At 35.3% G+C, this 22,113-nt stretch overlaps 1 protein-coding gene across 13 annotated transcripts in view, besides 1 other annotated feature; it reads left to right on the top strand.

Moving 5' to 3' along the window:
• The window catches only part of DIAPH3 (diaphanous related formin 3), a 498,346-nt gene that overhangs the window by 349,042 nt on the left and 127,191 nt on the right, over window positions 1-22,113 (top strand). For all 13 annotated transcript variants that reach the window (XR_002957478.1, XR_002957480.1, XR_941672.1 and 10 more), the window contains one exon: window positions 3,964-4,099. Coding sequence is in view for 9 of the 13 variants with exons in the window: in NM_001258368.2 (NP_001245297.1) it covers window positions 3,964-4,099 (136 nt within the window). In the remaining 4 variants the exon portion in view is untranslated. The remainder of the gene's footprint in view (window positions 1-3,963; window positions 4,100-22,113) is intronic.
• Window positions 21,126-21,991: an enhancer, noted in NCBI's record as "OCT4-NANOG hESC enhancer chr13:60367030-60367895 (GRCh37/hg19 assembly coordinates)". NCBI's record gives its function as "activates a minimal SCP1, AML or CMV promoter by ChIP-STARR-seq in naive and primed H9 embryonic stem cells {active_cell/tissue: H9 hESC(naive and primed)}" and the evidence as "EXISTENCE:reporter gene assay evidence [ECO:0000049][PMID:30033119]".

Raw genomic sequence — 22,113 nt, 5'->3', positions numbered from 1 at the left:
AGAAATGGAGAATAGAATGGTGGTTATCATTCCACTTGGAGGGTAAGGGGGTTGCACCAAACTCTGTCTGGCAAGTAACACTCAAAGAATTTCTTTAGGCAAAGTGTAGCTGAAAGTAGTTGGAGGCAGTGCGGTTTATTTGCCAGCTGACTAAATATAAAACAAGGTCAAGAAAAGATGATGGTTTTAAAAAATCAATGTCTTATAGCCAATTGTCTTTATATCTGGCTAACCCTTAACTTTTCTTTCTTAATTCAAATTTAGGATGGAAGTCACTAAGAGGCAGTCATATCCAGAAAAATGTTGTTCTCATTTAATTATTCAGTTTTTCTGTTTTAAGCTACTTTTACTTCTTAACATTTAGAATAAAAGAAAATCTCAAATTACTGTTTGAACTCGGATATTAGTCTCAGACTCACCTATTTCTGTGCTCTCTATTGGTATTTTTTCAGCTAAAATTCTTCTCCTAATAGTTACAATATGAGAATATGGTATGTTTTAAATGAAGTAGGCTTTTAAATGAAAATCAATAGTGCATTTTTCATGAAACAAAATAGGTTTAAGAACTCCTTTAGACCTTATTTCTAAATGTAAACATTGTTTTATAGGTCTTGGAAAAGTAATTTTCACTTTTTATTACCCATGGGAATGCTAAAAGGGTGTGGCAATTATATCTGATAGCAGATTGCCTATTATGTACTCACATTTAAATGTATTCAGTCATTAGAGTAGAAAATTCACATCAGAAAATGTTATACCTTAATTAGACTCATAAATAAGCTACATGATATATTATTTATTTATTGTAGGTTCATCTTGTTCATTTCTCTCAAGCAAGAAATAGAATTTTCATTCCTGAATATTTGCTTTTCCTTTCTCTATCACAACCTATCTTCTTACCCCATCTCCCTTATAGATACATACATGAGTATACATGCACACACACATACAGATATACTCACTTGTCTTTGAACCCATGATTATCTTCTCCTACCTTTCTTATGTTGAATTTTTTTTTTTTTTTTTTTGAGACAAAGTCTTGCTCTGTTGCCAGGCTGGAGTACAGTGGTGTGATCTCGGCTCACTGAAACCTCTGCCGCCTGCATCCCAGGTTCAAGTGATTCTCCTGTTTCAGCCTCTGAGTAGCTAGGACTACAGGTGTGTGCCACCACACCCAGCTAATTTTTGTATTTTTAGTAGAGACGGGGTTTCACCATGTTGGCCAGGATGGTCTCAATCTCCTGACCTCATGATCCACCCGCCTTGGCCTCCGAAAGTGCTGGGATTACAGGCATGAGCCACCGTGCCCAGCCTCTTATGTTGATTTTTATTACAACTTTTGTCTCATAGCTGCCTCTTAATATACATGACCATAATATGAAGCAATATGGTGGAAAACCACTGACTGTAGCTAGCTTTCAAATCTTGCAACTTACTGCCTCTTACTACTTTTATTACAGTAAACAAGTACTTAACCACTCTGGGCCAGATTAGAGAATGCAGAATCCAATTTGAGAATTAAAGGGATTGCACATTAAAGTATCTAGTATTGCAGCTGGTATTTTATAGCTTAGCAATAATAACTAGCGTTTATATATGTCAAGAACTGTGAAGAGTTTGAGAGTTTACCTACTAACAGGCTAACAAGTTAACTTGACACCATTTCATGGATGTGGGGTCAGAGACAAAGAATCCTTTGCTACTCACACAATAGCAATAGCCAGATTAAACTTTTTTTTTTTTTTAGGTTTCTGCGCCCGTACTCCCACAGGGCTATAGGAAAGGGACAGGTGACACTTATATACACAGTGGTTTGTGTCATCGGAGGGAAATCCTGAATTTAGGGAATGCAGTCTTTTATAATAGGTAGTAAGACTGTCCAGCCTTTGCTCCAGTTTATCATTCTGGGCAGTAACAAACCCCTTAGCTTAGGAGGGAGATACTACCTCTATCTTCTGTTCATTATGCAAATATCTTTGAAAAGATAGTTCGAAACAAAGGTGCTTGGTTGGTTCTTGTATCTCAGTGTACGTAGTTTTGCACTTGCTTGAAAATCTCTAGTCATTTTCCAGAACGCTTAAAAGAAAATCTAACCTCCCTGTCTTGGCCTAGAAGATCCTGAGGGATCAGGCCTCAGCATACCTCCCTGACCTCATCTTATACCTTTATACTGGCCTTCTGTCTCCTAAACCCAACAGCAACCTTTGCATTAGCACTTCCCTCTGCCTGATGTGTTCTAGATCATCACTTACCTAGCTCCTTGACATTTAAGATTCAGCTTGAATCAAGTCAGAGTGAGACCTTATCTAACTACCTAATGTAAAGTAACCCCTCAGGAATGCTATCACGGCACTCTTATTTTGTTGTTGTTATTTATTATTTATCTCTGCCTCCTGCCGCACCCTACCATATAGAATGTAAACTTGTTTTAGTGTGCTCTCTTATGCACTCTTCCTTCTCCCCTCTCCGCCTTCCTTTCCTCTCTCTCTTTTTTTTTCTCCCCTACTTTACAACAATACTATTTAGTAGTCCCAGAGTAAGTATTAATTGGATAGATGGAAGGATGGATGGATCGATGGATAGATGGATGGATGGATGGATGGATGGATGGATGGATGGATGGATGGATGGATGGATGCATGCATGCATGAGTTACTGTCCCCTCTACTCTGTGCTTTTTGTTTCTTTTTGTTGTTGGTCAAAAATATTAAACTTTATTATTTGATTTTTAATGAAGAACTTGTACTAACTCTAGGGTTAAAATAAAGAATACCACAGTAAAGATATAAAAGCCTTCTCCCGAAACAACATAAGCCACCTACTTGTTATAGTTTAATTACACACTTTTCTATTTAATACCAGTGGTGATAAACGTCCAATGTGTTAACCTGTTTGGTTTCATTGGTGTTTAATATAATGTTACTCTCTTTGTTGGCACTTAAAAATCCCATGTTTACCTGCTAATTCCCCTTAATGCCACATGAGAGGTATTTCTTGATGTGTATAACACTTAAGAAATAAGAAATTAAACAAATAATCACATATCTATTGAGATCTTCTTATGATTAGCATGTTATTATTAGTTTTGATCAAAGCCAGAGGACCTGGCTTTGAAATGACAAACATTTCTTTTTTTTTTTTTTTTTTTTTGAGACAGAGTCTTGCTCTGTCGCCCAGGCTGGAGTGCAGTGGTGCGATCTCGGCTCACTGCAAGCTCTGCCTCCTGGGTTCACACCATTCTCCTGCCTCAGCCTCCCTAGTAGCTGGGATTACAGGCACCCGCCACCACACCCAGCTAATTTTTGTATTTTTAGTAGAGACAGAGTTGCACCACGTTAGCCAGGATGGTCTCGATCTACTGACCTTATGATCCGCCCACCTCGGCCTCCCAAAGTGCTGGGATTACAGGCGTGAGCCACTGTGCCCGGCCAAGAAATATTTCTTTAGTTACCTTTACGACATTTCTCTCTATATTAGAAAAATTCATATATGATTGTAATAAAAAGTAGCCACTACAAGATTTCACTTCTTTTATTATGTCTTTAATTTGATAATTTTTCTTGTACTTGATAATTTGCTTTGCAAAGAAGATGTGGAAAACCCTAATTCAGTTGCTAGACACTTTTGGAAATGTATATGAGAAAACAGTTTTGATTTGTGAATTAGTTTTTTTTTTATTTTCAGTTTCTGTCTCCCATCTCCCTTTTAGGTAGTTAATTCCATCAAGATGTGGATGTTTTAAAGATGCAGGTTTAAGTTTAATAACAGTCGTATTTATAGATACATAACATAGTTAACAAGGGTTTCTGTGCATACCTTTTAGAAGACTGTATTACTAACATAACTCACCATTATCTAAAAGATAATCATGTTTCTACCTTAAGCATATTTTCAAATAGATAACTTTCCATTTTGCGGGATGAATCACTGGTTAAAATTGATCATTTTTCAAAATTTTTTTAGCAAGCAATAAAGGAGAATATCAAAAAAAGAGAAGCAGAGGAAAAAGAAAAACGTGTCAGAATAGCTAAAGAATTAGCAGAGCGAGAAAGACTCGAACGCCAACAAAAGAAAAAGCGTTTATTAGAAATGAAGACTGGTGAGTACTATCAAATTTGTTATTTATTCTATGTATACTTAAGATTTATATGGGCTGCTTTATTAGTATATTAATGAACTTAGTGAAAAAGGAAAATACAACCACTTGTTTCTGTAATTAAACCATAGAACAATTCTTTCTTTATGGTCTTCTTTCCCTTCCATTTACTAACGAGTAGTGTAGTGTCTTCATTCCAGTGTTGGTCATAGGTGATTTGGTCCTCTGTTATGCTGTTTTCGTTCCAGCGTATTCACGTTTCTTTAATTACTACCTCAATAATCAATCTTTAATAATGTATGTCAGTTAATAAAGTAACTGTCAGAAATGGACTGTGGAAAATTCTATAGGACATGTAACCCGGTTTCTTCAACAAAATATCCCAAGGGAGGGAAAAAAAGTGATGGAGGATAAACATTGTTTAAAAGAAAGAGACTTAAGCGACATATCAGCCAATTGTAATGTATGGAATTTATGTGTATTCCAATCTGTGGTCCCAGCTACTCGGGAGGTTGAGGTGGGAGGATCGCCTGAGCCTGGAAGGTTGAGGCTGCAGTATGCCTTGATCTTGACACTGCACTCCAGCCTGGGAGACAGAGTGAGATTTTGTTTCAAAAAAACAACAAAAAGAAAAAAGCAGTCTGAACATTTTGGATACTTTTTTTTTTCTTGTAAACATGACAAAATTGTTGTCAATATGTTTCAAAGTATCTTTTAGAGACTGGTACTGAAATTTTACAGAAACATATGTATATATGTATTTCAAGAAGCTAAAAGATACCACTTATTTAGAAGCAAAAGAATTATGTAAAATATAGTTATATTTTCATTCCCTGAAAAATTTGGCTTTTCTACTTCCAAGTCAGTAAGGATTGAACAAGGCTTTAATTAAAATCCATCCGCTTCACTGCTAAATCACCATAGTTTACAATTCAGGGTTGCAAATTCACCTAAGGTTTCCCCAGGAATAGACAGAGATGCCTACTTTGCCTTCTTTACTTTCACTTTACAGGTATATTTTTATGCTTACTAAAGCGAAACGAGTACCTTAATGTATTGCACTTGTTTCTTCCTGGGAAGAAAAATCATCTAAGCACAATTTCTTGTTTATATTTGAAATTCAGGGAATATTCTCAGAATTATTTTTAAGTATGAATAAAAATGGAGATCAGAAAGATTTAGTATTTATTTTTAAAATATGCTTCTGGAAAGAATTTTAAATTAATATATTACTTCCTAATTTACAGAAGATTCTGGTGTTTGAACATTAGCTTTTTTTTTTTTTTTTGAGATGGAGTTTCGCTCTTCTTGCCCAGGCTGGAGTGCAATGGCGCGATCTCGGCTCACTGCAACTTCTGCCTCCTGGGTTCGAGGGATTCTCCTGCCTCAAGCCTCCCGAGTGGCTGGGATTACAGGGGCCCGCCACCATGCCCGGCTAATTTTGTATTTTTAGTAGAGACCGAGTTTCGCCGTGTTGGCCAGGCTGGTCTTTAACTCCTGACCTCAGGTGACCCACCCACCTCAGCCTCCCAAAGTGCTGGGATTACAGGCGTGAGCCACTGCTCCCAGCCTGAACATTAGCTCTTTTAGCGTTGTCTATAGTTATCTAGATGAGTTGCTAGATGGCAGATTGGATGTATTGTTTGTGGGTTTTGCCCAGGGTCTGATCACACAGAGTGTCTCAGTAATTCTCTCTTATACCAATTTGAAAGATTGAAACTTGATAGGGCAAAGAAATTCTAATAAAACTTCCAATGTAATGTCAGTGATGTTTTAATTTAAATTTATGTCTCCCTAAGGAAGCTTTCACTTTTAAGAATAAGTTTATTTCTCAAATTTATTTACATTATCGAAAACACCTAAAAAATAGTAGATCAAAAGGCTGTTACCCATAATCTTCCTATCCAAAAAATCACTGTAAACATTTCTGCACACTGTTCTTTCAGTTTTAAATTTTTCTGCCTTCTAATAGTAGCTATGATCCTAGTAAATATGCAATTCAGTGTCTCACTTTATGTTGCTGAACTTTTGAATGTTTCATGTTATTCATAGCTTGTAATTCTTATAATTTTTAATATATATATGATTGATTCCACTGGTTGTGCCATATACAATTTAACTTGCATTAGTCAGTAATGAAGTCATGGAACAATAGTTATTGCTGACTTTTCAATGTGATTAATCTTTTTGTCCATAAATAGAAAATGTTTGTAATTATTTTATTGGACATGGAATAGAAAAGGATATTTTTAAGACTTTTGATGCATACTTACAAACTGATTTTCAGAAGCATAACTTTAATTTTCTCAACTTTCAACATTGGGTTATGATTGTGCCTTGGTTGAATATTCTTATTTTTTAAGATTTTTGCTAATTTTATAGATTTTAAAATTATGTTTTATTATCTTAATTTGCATTTCTTTGAGTATTACTAAAGTTGGACTTTTAAAAAGCGTTTATAAGTTCATTTTTAGTTCCTCTGTTGTGAATTGTTATCTTTTTCTTATTGATTTGTACAAGTTAGCTCAGTATGTATTCATATTTACATTTTAAATACCTCCTTCTAATGTGGCTTTTTTATTTCTATATCTTGATATATATAAAACTTTTATTTTCATTCTATGATGTTTTAATATTTGCCTTTGTGATTTTTTTCTGTCACCTTTAAGTTTAGAAAATCATCCTTTCACTGATTTCATATCAACTTCATTTCTTTTCTAGTTTTGATTATTTATAATATGACTGTACTCTACTTATTTATAATCTTCCCTTAATCATATATTTGATATATAGGTTTTAATATAAAAGGATCTGTTTCTAAATTTTACCAAAAGCATTCTAATATTTAGCCATCAATTGTGTTTAATAGCTGGTTTATGTTTCTTTAAAATAGGTAATTTTATGTTGATGACATTACCTTCTTTTCTTAATTTTAAAAAAAGCTTGAATGTTTTTAATTTTAACAATAGATTTAAAGAAACGTTTTATTATATCTTTCGTTAATCATAGAGCTCATCTTATTTGACCTATTGGATTATTTTATTAGACTTTTTCTGTACTATCTCTTCCTAAACATGGTCTGCAAATTAACATCGGTGGGCCTCAAGTAAATGTAAAATCTTCACCCAATAGGACTTTCCAAACCTGTAATTTGCTGAGGTACATATGCATCATACATTTTAACATTTTTCAGGGGTGCCCTCTGCAGAGCATAGTCTGAGTAACTTAGATTTATATAAATGATATTAAAATAGGTAAGTTTAAAGTAATATATCTGTAAAATAAATACAGATATGTGCTATGTCTATATCATACATATGAATTTGCTATAGATGTAATCGAACTCATTTGATACAACATGCTGAAACAGCTATGATTTAAGAAGCTACTGTGAGACTTTGTCTTTTAAAAACGTTTGAAATTTTTGCAAGTCAACTTTGAATTTTTTTTTCAGACTGTGGGATTTAAAATAATCTAGGGATAATAGCCCAAATTTCATAATATTTGTAAACACATATTTTTCTCACCAAAGTGAAAGACCTCTTCTAAAACCCCAATAAATGATGATGATGGTCCTTAGTTTTCCTTTAAAATCAACACAATTATTAATGTAGAAGAACAAAGCATTTGATTTCTTACAGTAACTCTTATTACCAAGTGAGTCATATAACCATATAACAAATATATTACTACATGCTTATTTATTGATAACTTTTTTCATTTTTAAAAAAATCACAAATAATACAGTCAACTTTTTTCCATATTATATGTAGAATATGCTTTTTGTCAAGTCATGATTTTTATAACATTTGAAGGTTTTATGAAATAGAGGTTACTAGTGTATCTAATTTAGCACTTAATTACTGAAAATATGTTAAATATCAGTTTTTTATACTTTTAAATTGATACATTGAATTTTATGCATATGATATTTGACAAATATGATCTTCAATAAAGACATTGTACTATTATAAAAATATGTGTTATCATTTCTATTATTATTTTATTGGTAAAAAACGAAATATAGCAAGGCCACTTTTTATTGTTCTTTTATTCATCAAGTTTTTTTCTATATGTTGAGATTACAGTGATAAATAAGAATAAAAAGGTTCCTGCTGTAATGAAGTTTAAAATTCTAATGAGTGCTTCAAATAACCAAATATATAAAATAATGTCAGATAATAATTTACAGGAACTAAAATAAGATAGGATAATGAGATGGAGACTGCTTAGGCTGGTGGTAGTAACAAAATTTGGTCTCAGAGAACTAAGGAGACTATTAGTATGTATCAAACTTTCTAGTTTAAATATTGTTTAATAAAAATCCTCAGAAGTTGGTAAGATTTATATAATTAGTGTATGTGGTTTTTGGATAACCAGGCTTATAAGCTGTACTATATGTGCTAATATGGTGTGTTTTTTAAACACTGTGAGGATCAGTTGAAACTTTATGTAATTTTTCTTCGCAGGTGTTATATTTTAGTACAGAACATGGTACTGCTCAAATCTTCGTAGAAATTTTTAGCCCGACTTTCTCAGCCTTAAAAGAATGTGGAAGGGTGAATTATTGAATTTACATTAGTGTTTTGTTACCTCACTGGGCCAGGAACTTTTTGTTTTAGCTTATTTTCATATGTAAGGCACATACCCCTGGATGATGGAGGAAGAGAGAAATCTTCACATAACTCTGCCATAAACCCACAGGGAGCTTCCTTCCATATATTTTCATGGCTTTAGTATTTTCTCCATGCAAATAAGAACTGAATTTTTTCACAGGTGTAGAAATTCTTGTATCACTATCTGAGGTAGCACAGTAAATTAAATTCCTGTTCTTTCTTACCCATAGTAAATCATTACTTGCCCTCAGCAAGAGAACAGGCAACTATTTCCAAATCTACTATTATTTACTATCACTATCATTTCAGAATGTGATTTTTGTTAATAGAATGAAAATAAAGATAAAAATAGTGGACTAAATTTCTCCAAGAAGAAAAATGAAGCATTAAAAATCCTTCTGAGCAACCAAACTAAGAAAGCAGTCTCCTATTTTCATGTTATAGTGTTAAAACATGATGTTTTTCGTTTTTGTTTTCTCATTTTTTTTTAAATGATGAACCTGAAGGTCTCTTAAATATTCACATACACAGTTTTGGTTATTTCTGTTGAATGTTTTGGTATTACATAAACAAGCAAGTTACATTTTCATGATGTCTTTATTTAATCAACATATAAATTTTGAGTAAATGTCTAAGGTTGATGCTTGAGTTTGAACTATTTTAATTTAAAAAGTACCTATTCATCTGACATGAAAACTACTAAGCATAGACCCTAGTGGTTATTAATTTAAAATGCATAACTCTTCTTAAGTGTAATCATTTCTAGTAAGGCAAGTAGTAGTAATAATTTTATGTGATTATGCACAACTTTTTCTTAATTCCATTTCTGTTTCTTAATCATGGACACAAATAGGGCATTTGCTAACAGAATTCAATATTATGCTTTAAGACTTCCTGAGTATGTAGGTTGATTCACATCATTTTTAAATAGCAGATCAAAATGGCCTTGAAATGGACCCAGTGTTGTGTAATTATGTTTTGTGGGGGAAGTAAATAAGAGCTTATTTAATGGAGCAATAAAAACTGTATGAGCAGCTCCTATATTTTAGTCTTTAGGTTACAATTTGTCTATTATTTATTAGACTTAAATGTCTCATTTGGTGCAACTTCAGTCTATTAAATAAAGAGATAATTAGCTTTTAGAAATCTGTTGTTTACCCACATGGCCAAAACTGCTCCTTTGTTTTCCATTCTGCAATTTAGAATAACTAAGCAATTAGGCCTCCATTTTAGAGGAAATGCATATTACATAAATTCTACTTCGGAATGTCTCTGCCAATCTCAACAGATATGCAATTAACGTTTGTACTTGCTTTCATAAAAGCTTTAACAATTACCCTGTCTTCTACAGATATCATAAAACTTAGATTACTTTCCATAATTGCCCATATTCTAGTTTTGTGCAGTAATGCTTTCAGTTTTTTAGTGTTATTGGCAATTGGTGCATATAAATAAGCCAATAGTTTTAGTAATTTCTCGATATAGAAGGGTAGAACAAATGGAATTGCATTGGCTTGGATATATTTCTCTTTTCTTTACTCCATCATTTATAGAACAGACATTGTAACAACAACAACAACAACAACAACTGCTACTACTACTGCTGGCATTTATTGATCACATATTATTTGCCAGCCTATATTTATTATTACATGTAATACTTATAACAAACTCATGAGACTATTTTATATGTCGAAAAGTTTAATTTACTTGCACATGATCACAGATTTAACAAGCCATGAAGCCAGTACTCAAGTCTTCTCACGAGGTCATATTTTTAACTATTGTGCTATTATATTTTACCACTGATGATTTAACCATGGTACAGGAAAAAGGGACCAAAATGATTGTGGTAACTGTCACTAGACTATACCTATATAGGAAGATTGAGAATTATTTTCCCTGGAAATGTGTGAGAGGGTCAGTCATGTCTTTGGTAACATAATCAGTGGTTTTAAGCCATGTGGTCTTCCCTTTGTGTTTGGAACTTCTGGGGCGATTGTCACAGTCAAAGGAGGGATTCTTCAATGTTCTGAATAGTTCTGACCCAACATAGTTGCCAGAGGTCAACTTTTCTGAGGGAGGTAGAAATGTGTTCAGTACTTTCATTGTTTGACTCAGAATAGAAGTTAAGGAACCAGAGAATTTGCAATATAGTAGGTTTTAGGAGTGGCACAAACATTTTGTGTGCTTTACTTGTAATGTGTGCCCTGAGACATTCTTCCACGTCCACCAACTGTACCATGTAACAATTTTTTCCTTCTGATGGTATTAAGAAACTGAAATTCTGTTCCATAAATAGTAGCAAGCAATGTCTGGTGGGAAATTTTTCCAAGAGTCTCTCTGTCAGTTAACTAGGCAGCTTTTCACTTATGTGCAGGCATCTCTTTCACTGGAATAACATAGCTTAAATTATGAAAACTCATTCAGAGTTCAACCACTTTGTGCACTAATTTGCGTCTTCTCCATGCAGCTATACAAGGCTCACACACCATCCTTTGTCCCCTTCCAACAAGCCCCAGAAAAGAGGAGGTTCTCAGACTTCCAACATAACTTAATTTGAAAGTGATTATTTTTTTCTTTTGTCTTTTTCTTTCTTTCTTTTTAAACTTTCTTGAGGGTTATCAGTGCCACTCTTGTTAAGCATTTTTGTGGCATATCCTCATGCTAATTAGTTTATTGCTCATCCAATATTTTAAAATCATTTTCAAAATGTTTTTCATATTATTATAATATGGTATTTACTATATTCTGAACTTCACTTTTTGTTGTTTAACTTCTCTGGGAATAAAAGATTAAATGCCAATTTTCATAAACTTTATTTGAGGCAAAATAATTTAAATTTTTAAGGTGTAGCATGGTCTACCTCTAAGAATTTTACCAAAGAAATCTTTATATTAACATCACTTATTCATAATTTCACCCTGTTCATATTCTAGGGCAAAAAAATCATACCAATCAGTTCTTTTGATCTTATCACAATGTGGAAAACTCTGTAACTTTGATAATGTCAGCCACATTTATTGTATTATAATTGAGAACTCAATCACAGCATTGCATCTTCTTTGTCTGTAACATTCAATACTCCTTAGCTGTCTCCACTAATCAACATAAACCATATATCCCACAAAGCCTAAAATATTTGTTAGCTGGCCTTCACAGAAAAATTTTGCTGATTCATAATATAGATCGGCTGGGCGCGGTGGCTCACGCCTGTAATCCCAGCACTTTGGGAGGCCGAGGCGGGTGGATCATGAGGTCAGGAGATCGAGACCATCCTGGCTAACAAGGTGAAACCCCGTCTCTACTAAAAATACAAAAAAAAATTAGCCGGGCGCGGTGGCGGGCGCCTGTAGTCCCAGCTACTCGGGAGGCTGAGGCAGGAGAATGGCGTGAACCCGCGAAGCGGAGCTTGCAGTGAGCCGAGATTGCGCCACTGCAGTCCGCAGTCCGGCCTGGGCGACAGAGCGAGACTCTGTCTCAAAAAAAAAAAAAAAAAAAAAAAAATAATAATAATAATAATAATAATATAGATCAATAAGTCATAGACTCTGTTCTTTGATTTTAAGAGACAGATTAAAAAAAAACCATGAAGTAAAAAAAAAAAACTTTTCCTTGTCTTCCTATAGCCAAAAGTATGCATTTGCAAAATGACCAGTCTGTGTTGAAAAATAATGAGTTATTGTTATTTTGATAAAATTGATATATTTATAAATTGATAAATAAATAATAATTGATAAGTAAATTAATTAAAATTGATATATTGATAAAATTAATGATAATTGTCAGAGAAAACTTAATCTTTAGGCATATTTCTTGCTACAGAGAATTGTGTGATTTTTAGATCTATTAATTTGAAATGGAAAGTCATGCAGTTGAACTTTTGAAATGCTAGCAAGCATCTGGGCTGCTGATTGTTTCAGCAACCGATCTAGCACAACCATTGTGCTTCTTATCCTTTTAGCCCAGCTTATAGACCCCAGTATTTCTATAGTATTGTTTGTATATCTTTCAAGATGGAAATATCAGTGTGTCAAAAGGTCATAGGTGGAGCCAGGTTTTTCTTTTTTTATTAATAGGTTCTCTCTTTTCTTTGTATTTTGGGTCATTCTGACATTAAATCCTTAAAGTTGAAGGAAATCTATTCATTGGTGTTGAACTTGGTCGTGAAGGTTGCTCAAAGTCTAAAGTGATTATCTCAAAGAGGGGGAAAAAAAACAACTCAGTAGTATTTGGCATTTGATGATGAATAAATATACCCTAGGGCAGACTGGGGAAATTAAGCAAAGAAATTGAATATTTATATGTTACATGTAAATGGTATAAATAGGCATTAGTGTTTAGATGAAATTAGACATTATTTTGTAATAGGATTTTAAAATATTGTTTCCTGGATAGCTTCCTTCCTCAGATATCCAATGTTTTTCAAGAGAATTATAAGCAATATGATAGTAACAGAGTTAACAATGAGGGCAGCCTTAACACAGGCTAGAATGCCCCAAGGCAGGAAGAATATGACAGACTAGCATAGTAACAGAAAATAGATGACTGACTGTCTTTAGAGCAAGCAATTCTTGGAGACCATTGCCTGACTAGAGTGAATTGCCATCATAGAACTTCCAATAATAATTATCATTAATGGGTATAAGTGACAGTAATTTCAGTTCAATAGAATCCTTTGAATGTTTATTTTTAAACTATTAGTGCTATTCAGGCAGGAACTCTTGTAAAATTAGTGCTGAATCTGAGGTTCTATTACTAGCTTTCATGAGTGTTGTGTAAAGGATCACTGCTTTAGGAAACTGGATAGATTCCCTCCAAAGTCATTCCAACACTGATTCTGTGGCAATTAGTTTGAAGATTCTAAATGTGTGACAGTTCCTCTTTTTAACTTAACTGCAAAGTAGCCTTCAAGTGTTACAAAGTCAAGAAGATTGTTTGCTTGGGGAACAAAAGATTATTTTAATTCAAAGGCCAAGAACTAAGAAAAAGTCTTTTTGCTGCATTTCAGATATATTTCAGAAGTAATGATTCTATTAGTGCTGAATTGCAATTATGATCTCTGATTTTCAGTGGATGTTTTCAAGGCTAATTAGATTGTACTTTCTGCTGGATTCACGTGTGAATAAAAGTACTTTTTTAAAACCTTTATCCTTTATTATTTATTTTATGGTTTGATATGGAACACTAATGCTCTTCTCTCAAAAAAAGGACAGTGCCTTTTGATAGTAGTCACTCATTATTTCTTGAACGCATGGGATACTTTTATTAGATAAAAAATAAATGTATTAACTATTTTAACAGATTATTTTACCATTTTGCTGTGACTCTGTTAATTGTACTCTGTGATTTTGGCTTTGGTAGATGAAAATATTGTTTATGATCGTTGGAAATACCGTTCACACTTGAGCAAAGATGCTAGTTCTGCTCCCACTACCCATAGACAAACTTTCAGAGACCCGTTCCATGGGATTCTGAAGGAATTTGGTCTGAGGAAACATGTCGTTTGGATTATACTGTATTCTAATTGATTCTATCATTAAGGTAAATAGCATTGCAGTCTGAGGAAATGCTGTTTCCTAAATCATGATATCTGCCGAGATTGAGCATAAAATGTCTTAATGTTATATTTGGAGGCATTGTGGGAAATTAAAGAAACGTTCTTCTCTGCCCAGAAAATATTAGAAGAACCCAAATGATGTCAAGCTTTGTTCAGAATTGCTACACTCATGTGATGGGGAAATCTTCGGAAGGAGTGTTGTTTTTCACATCTTCCTCTTCCCTATGAGATAATTCCCATTTTATGCTTGATACTGTCCTATTCCTAAAGCATTGCACTTTGATATAAGTAGGATATGAACTCAGTCATCTTTTATCAGTTCTAAAAAGGGAAAGGTAAGAAAAGAAGGGGAAAATATATCTCATGGTGTTTACCATTCTTAGAAACTGAGGAACGCTTAGAGATAAAATTTTCCATCTGAATATATTACAACTTAACTAATGAGTAATGAGGGTTTCTATATGGGGGAGGATGCATGTGTACGTGTACACACGCACTTGTGTGCATGTTTTTAGCCTGCTCCAATTTGAGGTCAGCTGATTCTGAAACAGAAGTTTTGACAATTTGGTGTATTCCTCCTAGAAACTTCAAAAAGAAGTCTTTTTGAAGTAAGTGTTTATCTCATTTCATTAATTAGATACTCAATATTAATCTTTAATAAAGTACAAGAAAGGAGGGACATGATATGAAACATTTACTATAGTCATTTTAAATGATACTTCAGTTAATATTTTGATTTTGCTATGAAAAATTTGCTTTTCATAAAGATCAAACATGCCATTATTTCTCAATAATAAATCTTACAAAAATAAAACCTTTAATCAAAATTAACCATGTTCAAAAAAATATCTTTTACAGTGAGCTGTTGCTTCTAATTTCTTTCCATAGCAGGTGTTTAATAAGCACTTTAAAAATATTTATGGAATTCACATTTGTGGGACAAAAACTCCTCAACTGTACATGTTCTATTTATGCAGACCCCATAAAATAGATTGGCACAATCCTAGGACAAGATATGACATATGTCAAGTTTGTTTTATGTGCTCTTATACTTTTGGTAACAAACGGGGAATTTCATAGTTAGGACAGCAAGTTCAGATATGCAGAGATATAACTATTTCTATAAATGCAGTTTAATTTATGACTGAGTCATCAGCCTACCTGATGGTTAACAATGTAGTCAATTCTCCTTCTGTGTGTGTGTGTGTGTGTGTGTGTGTGTGTGTGTGTGTGTGTGTGCATATTTCCAGTAATTTCAGTAGAGAGTTGTTATTTGTGTTTGAAATTCCCTTCCATGATCTCTTCTTATCTCCCTTCTTCCTTCGATGAAGGAAGCCAGCTTCGGCCACCCTTCTGTGCATATGCCCTCTTTCTGGTTCAGTTGGCATCTACGTCCATAACAGCCTCCCTGCTTTGGCATCATTCCTCCTGTCTGCTTGTGGTAAAGGTGATCACTGGTTTGCCTTTGAATGGTAACCAAATAGAACAATTGGATTTCTCTTAGTTCCCTCCTTGGCTTCCTTATGTTAATGATTCTTGGAAACATTCTTCTCTTGCACTCGTGCTCTTTCTTAGTGAACTTTTTTTTTCTTCCCCAGGCAGGATGCATAGGAAATTACTGTGCTTCAACCACAGCACTCAGCTTCTTGTGGTGCTTCTGCAGCCTTCTTGTACCCTAATCTTGTTTCCTTAGCCCATTCTCAACAATTCTGCATGTTGGACACAAGACACCTCCACTCTTGGACTCAACTCTCTGTAACTTCCTAGGAAAGTCTACCCAATATGCGCCACTTCCTCCTGGGATGAATGCGCAGGGCTACTGCACTGCATGTAATCTCACTTCCAATTTCTCTTCCACCAGATGGGGGCATCTTTTCTGTTCAGAGCCTAAGAATGTGGTGTGCATTTTCTGCTACATGGGTGGTTCCTGTACTAAGAATGATCCTTTGGCTCTCACATTGGGGTGGGAGAGAGGAGGATGGATTGACATCTGAGCAGTAAATGTGGAAAAGACTACCTTTGTTGTTCCTTTGAAATGTGGAATCTTGAATTAGGTGGATACCAAATGAACACAGTGAAATGAAGGGCCAGAGTTTCTGTGCCTGGGCATCCAATGGGCTAAGTAAATTCAGATACAGAGGTGTGACATTTATATATGGACTAACCAGTAATGTAGCAGGCCTGATTGATCTTTGGGTAGAACTATGGGCAGAAATGATGCTAAATTGGAAGTCAAGAAACCATGCTATGCTTTGAATTTTTTTTTTGCTTTATTTTGTAGGCACATTTCAAGGGCATTAAACAGAGCAGTGATATGATTTGCTTTTAGAGAAATGGCTCTGTAGCAAAAACGCAGATGGATCAGAGGGTGTTGGGACTAGGAGGAATGAGACTAATTAGGACACTTGCAATTTTGCAAGAGATAAATGTAGAAGACCTGAACTAGGATGCACTGAAAAGAGAAGACAGGATGGATTTGAAAGGCAGTTTAGAGGCAGAATCAATGGGGCTTTCTAGTGGATTGGGTGTGGGGAGACAGGGAGAATACTTCATGAACAGGTAGGTGATGCTGCTCCTACCAGCTTTAGAACACATAGATTTTACATCTCCAATTTAAAGGCTTTTTAATCTTGGGAGTGTTTTTTACCTGAATGGGCCTGGCATAGGGTAAGAAACACAACATCTGCACAGTAACTATTAACTTCTTTCATAGAGGAAAATAAAAACAAATTTGTTAATAAAGACAACTTTGCAAGTTTTTGTAGCTAGATTAACCGAGAACCTCTGAAAATAAACCATGTTTAGCTCATGAGGATAAGCTGGAGGTGGCCCTTTCCTGGAGAATCTGAGGCATGGGGTTCAGGTAGGGCAATGGAGAGAATGTGTCCCATTATCCCCTTGAAGGAAAACAGGTCAGTCCCACTCCTTCCTCTTCATCTAAAACTAGCCCAAACATTCAGTTCCAAGGCTCTAGGATTCTCATTATTGAAGTCTGCATTCGTTTATTTTGCTGGCAGGTGATATTGTTGTAGTCAGTATTTGGTTATTGTTTTTTCATTAGGTACTAATTACACCTTATCTAACATTCTGAAAGACATTCCCAAGGCTCCTGTGTGATTTGCTTTTGTGACCATTAAATTTCTGACAAAAGAAATTATAAAAATGGGCATTGAAATACTTCCTTCATTAGCAGAATTATTAGTGTGATGGTGAAAAAAAGTATTTCTATCAAAACTTTCTTTCAGCAAATATTTATTTATCGCATATTATGTCATGATACTATCCTAGGCACTAGGGGTACAGCAGAAAATAAAACAAGCGAGTGTCCCGGCCCTCATGGGCATATATTCTGGCAGGAGACAGACAACATTTAAGATAAATAAACAGCATTAGAAGTCCACAACTTATAAGGAGAACAAAATAAAGTAGGGATGGGGGGATAGAAAGTGTGGGAAGGAGTGACATTTTACATAGGGTGTTTTTTTTTCATTTACTAAAACTATTGACATTATATACAATATTGCTATTCTCTGTTAATAGTGGTGTCATGAAATGTTTGGTGCTAAGGTTTAGGAGTTGGGTTATCAGTATTCCAGTCCCTGCTCCACCAGTAGCTAAGTAATAGCAGGCCAGTTAGCTTCAGACCATAATTCTCCTTATCTACACAATAAGATTCCTTCTAATTTGGAAAATTCCATTTGTATTCTGTAAATTAATAACAAACTTTATTAGAACCCAAGGAATGAAGTTTTGCCTACTCTTCCACTCACTTGTTCTATGACACTGTCCTCTTTTACAACATAATCTCTACTTTAAGATACTTTTTATTACACAGTAAATATGACTCTCTTCTTATACAGTATGGTTTTTTTCCCCCCTTTGGTTATAGGATGAATTTAGTTTAAAATTACCTGTTTAGAATGTTTGCCCACAATATGGATCAGTAAAAGATATGTTTAGAAAAAGTTACTGATATGGTGAAGTTAGGGAAATATATCTGTATGCACATATGTGTGTATGTATATGGACAACTCTTTTCATTTATGAATCTCATAGTTTTCTGTCTATGCTCTTAATTTTCTGAATGGAAGGTACTTAATATATTTGTAGAACAGAAATGAAAATGTCTTACTATAGAAATGGTTGACCTTTCAACAGACTGACAACTTCTCATTTTCCCTGACAAATACTCAATCCACACTTCAGTCTATTAAGAACAGAGCTCATTAACATGCATAAACTAGCAGTCTAATCTAGTTATGGTGCATCCTTAATGTGTGACATGTTCAGCATAGTGTAACTACTTAGTCTTGTCATAAAAGGTAGAGTGGCCTCCCGTGATCGAGGTTCTGAGATCAATTTAACCTGGATAAAATCTTTATCCATAACAACTGTCATTAGAAATGACTAGCATTTCACTAATTAGCCCACCATTTACGCCCCATAAGCTTCTCACAGATGGTAAATGTTTATAAACACCCACAGATGTGTGCACAGCTGACTCTCAGTTATCCGCAGGAATAGGGGACATAGATAATTTAGATTCACTTACAATACAAACCCCTCATTTTAGCTAGTTTCAATCTTTTTTCTCCTTGGACTTTTTACCACAGCTGTTAATGAAGTAGCAAATTAACTAATCTAATTTCAACTTCTCCTCTTATTGATGCACTTACCCCCTGATGAAAGCACTAATATGTACAAATGTGGTCACAAGATGGCTGGCAAGCGGGTGGAAATGGTAAGCATGAGCTTAGAAAAATACATTGAGCAATGGAGAATATGTCTGTAACTGTTTGTCTAGTAACAAACTTTAAGTTGTGAAACCATAGCAAGCCACCCAGTTCAAGAATGACATACCTGGCCAGGCGCAGTGTTTCACGCCTGTAATCCCAGCACTTTGGGAGGCTGAGGCAGGTGGATCACGAGGTCAGGAGATCGAGACCATCTTAGCACGCACAGTGAAACCCTGTGTCTATTAAAAATAAAAAAAAATAGCCTGGAATGGTGGCGGCCACCTGTAGTCCCAGCTACTCAGGAGGCTGAGGCAGGAGAATGGTGTGAACCCGGAGGCGGAGCTCGCAGTGAGCTGAGATCACGCCACTGCACTCCAGCCTGGGCGGGAGAGCGAGACTCCATCTCAAAAAAAAAAAAAAAAAGAGAGAGAGAATGATATACCTAAATTCCCTGGGACAGAAGCATCTCCTTAAATTCAAGAGAAGGGAAAGGATGCCATTTTCCTTGGTGGCCAGGCCCTATAGTAATAATGATTTCTTTTCAGATAGTTCTTCCTGAAATTTAGTCTTAATTTTTCATTATATTATCAGCCTATCTACTGTCTCATGCTGAATGAAGATGAAGAAATATAAATATAATAACCCAGAGCACCATGAAGTCACTTTTTTGTCTTACTTCCTTTGGCCTGAAGAGTCTTGCGTCTTGTGCTTCTCGTACATTCTTAATCTGAAGCTTTCGTTCATTCTCCTTTGTGCAGTTGTCCAGGCAAATTTAAAGGCAATATTTGATGGAGCCCACACAGAGTGAGGAGATGTGTGGAGCTAACTGCGGCCCACAGGCCATTTACAGAATGAACTATGAAAGACAACCATTTTGTTTCCTAATGACCTACAAAGCATGTACTATGTCTTGCAGACTGAGGCATTCACAAGTTAATACAAATTGTTTTCCAGAGTTTCATTGCTTGAGGAACATGTCTTTCTTTCAGCTTATTGGGAAGGAAAATTAATCATTCCTAAACAGCATGTTAGAAATATTCCAAAATGTTTAAAGAAGAATATTTATACTAGGCTGGGCATGGTAGCTGGTTCCTGTAATCCCAGCACTTTGGGAGGCTGAGGTGGGAGGATCTCTTGAGGCCAGGAGTTTGAGACCAGTCTGGGCCACACAATGAGACCCTGCCTCGATAAAAATAAATAAATAAATGATATTTATAGTGGATTAGATAGTGATCAAAATTCGCATCAGAACTTGGACAGTAGAAGGATGTGGCATTGAAGAAAAAAATCTTGCACCACTGGCACTATCCAACAGATCTGTAACTTTTCAAATGAATGATACATTTTTTAATTTTTTTTTTTTCACTAAAGAAGATTTGAAATTGCTGACAGGCTATATAAGAATCCTATTGAATATTCCCCTAATAGGAAATGTAACTGGAAACTCAGTGCTTAGGGATACAGAAATCCTTCTATTATATTTACCTTCAACAGTTGTTAAAAAGGACTCATAGTGTTTTGACATGAGTAGGTGGTGCCATTCACTGAGATAAGGGACACAATAAGAGGTAGAGGTTTGGGGAAAATGGTAATTCAAGTTTGTATATACAGATGCACCTCAACTTTTGATGGGGTTATGTCCAGATAAACCCATCATAATTTGGAAATATTTTAAGTCAAAGCTGCATTTAATATACCTAAACCTACCAAACATCATAGCTTAGCCTAGCCTACCTAAAACATTCCAGAACACTTATAGTAGCCTACAGCTGGGCAAAATCATATAACACAGAACCTATTTTGTAATCAAGTATTGAATATCTCATGTAATTTATTGAATACAGACAATGGTTGTATGGGTAGTCAAGTACAGTTTCTGTTGAATGTGTATTGCTTTGCTTGATTGTAAAGTCAAAAAATTGTAAGTTGGGAACAGTCTGTATTATATTTGAGGTATCTCTAGGACATCCAGGTTACCATGTCTAGTGAGTAGGAAGGGGCTAGTATGACCAACACATCCCAGATTGCCTAATTCTCCCAGTTTTATCACTGAAAGTCCTGTGTTCCAGGAAACCCCTTAGTCTTGCAAGTCAGGATGGTTGGTCACCCTAGTTGGAACTCAGGAATAGCGCTTGTTGCTGGTGATAAAAACTTGGGAGTTTTCAGTAAATGAAGCCATGGAATGAATAAAACACCAATGGAAAATTCAAGGAATGGTGTAAGAATGAGCAGAGTAAGAAGATCCCAGAAGAGGACCTTGACAAGGGAGTCACATGAAAGTAGTAGGAAGACCAAGAAAGTCTGGTATCATGAAGCCCAAGGAAGAGACCATTTCAAAAAGGAATGGGTAGTCAACACAATCAAATACTGCTAAAGAATCATGTAATGAACTAACAGCCATCCCATTGACTTTAGCTCAAAGAATAGCGTAAAGAGTTAATGAATGAATATGGGAGATGAGACTGAGATATGAGTAAGAAAGGGTAGTAACTACAGGGGATTTAGAAGTCAAAGGGGAGGACAAAGCAGGTGTTTTAATTTGTTTAAATGCAGACTGGGAGGAATGAGAAAGGAGGGCAATTGGAAGAGAATGACAATCAATGGAGTAAACTTCTGAGGGCGGCAGGAGGGGTGGAGAACAACAAGATACTAGCACAGGTAGAGGAAATTGTCTTGGAAATCCACATGCTCTGCCATTGTGATAGATTGAAAGGAGGAAATGTTGGGCCTAAGTGCAGATACATTTGTAGGTTTGATGGTGGGAAGTTAAGGAAGCTTTCATCAAGTGGTTCCTGTTTTCTATCTAAAAGGAAGGCCTTTGCAGAGGAAGGGCCATGGTTGGTTGGGAGGCTTGAGTGAAGTGTGTAAGCATGTAAACCCTCTCAGGGAGTGGGAGAGCCTCCTGATGAAACACAGAGGAGTGCTGAATAGCATTAAGAATCCAATTGAGGTAGCAGTTGCACATATGTACTAGTTCAGATCCTGTGGTATTGTTTCTTACCGGCACTACTCAGCATCTGGAGTAATGCCAAGAAGATGGAGTTTGGGGCTTATTTACATTTTAGTGGGAGTCTGAAAAAGTAGGAGAATGAAGGAGGGAAGTAA

Source organism: Homo sapiens, chromosome 13 (genome assembly GCF_000001405.40).
Source record: "Homo sapiens chromosome 13, GRCh38.p14 Primary Assembly".
Classification (NCBI taxonomy): Eukaryota; Metazoa; Chordata; class Mammalia; order Primates; family Hominidae; genus Homo; species Homo sapiens.
This window is presented reverse-complemented; position numbering and strand designations above follow the sequence as displayed.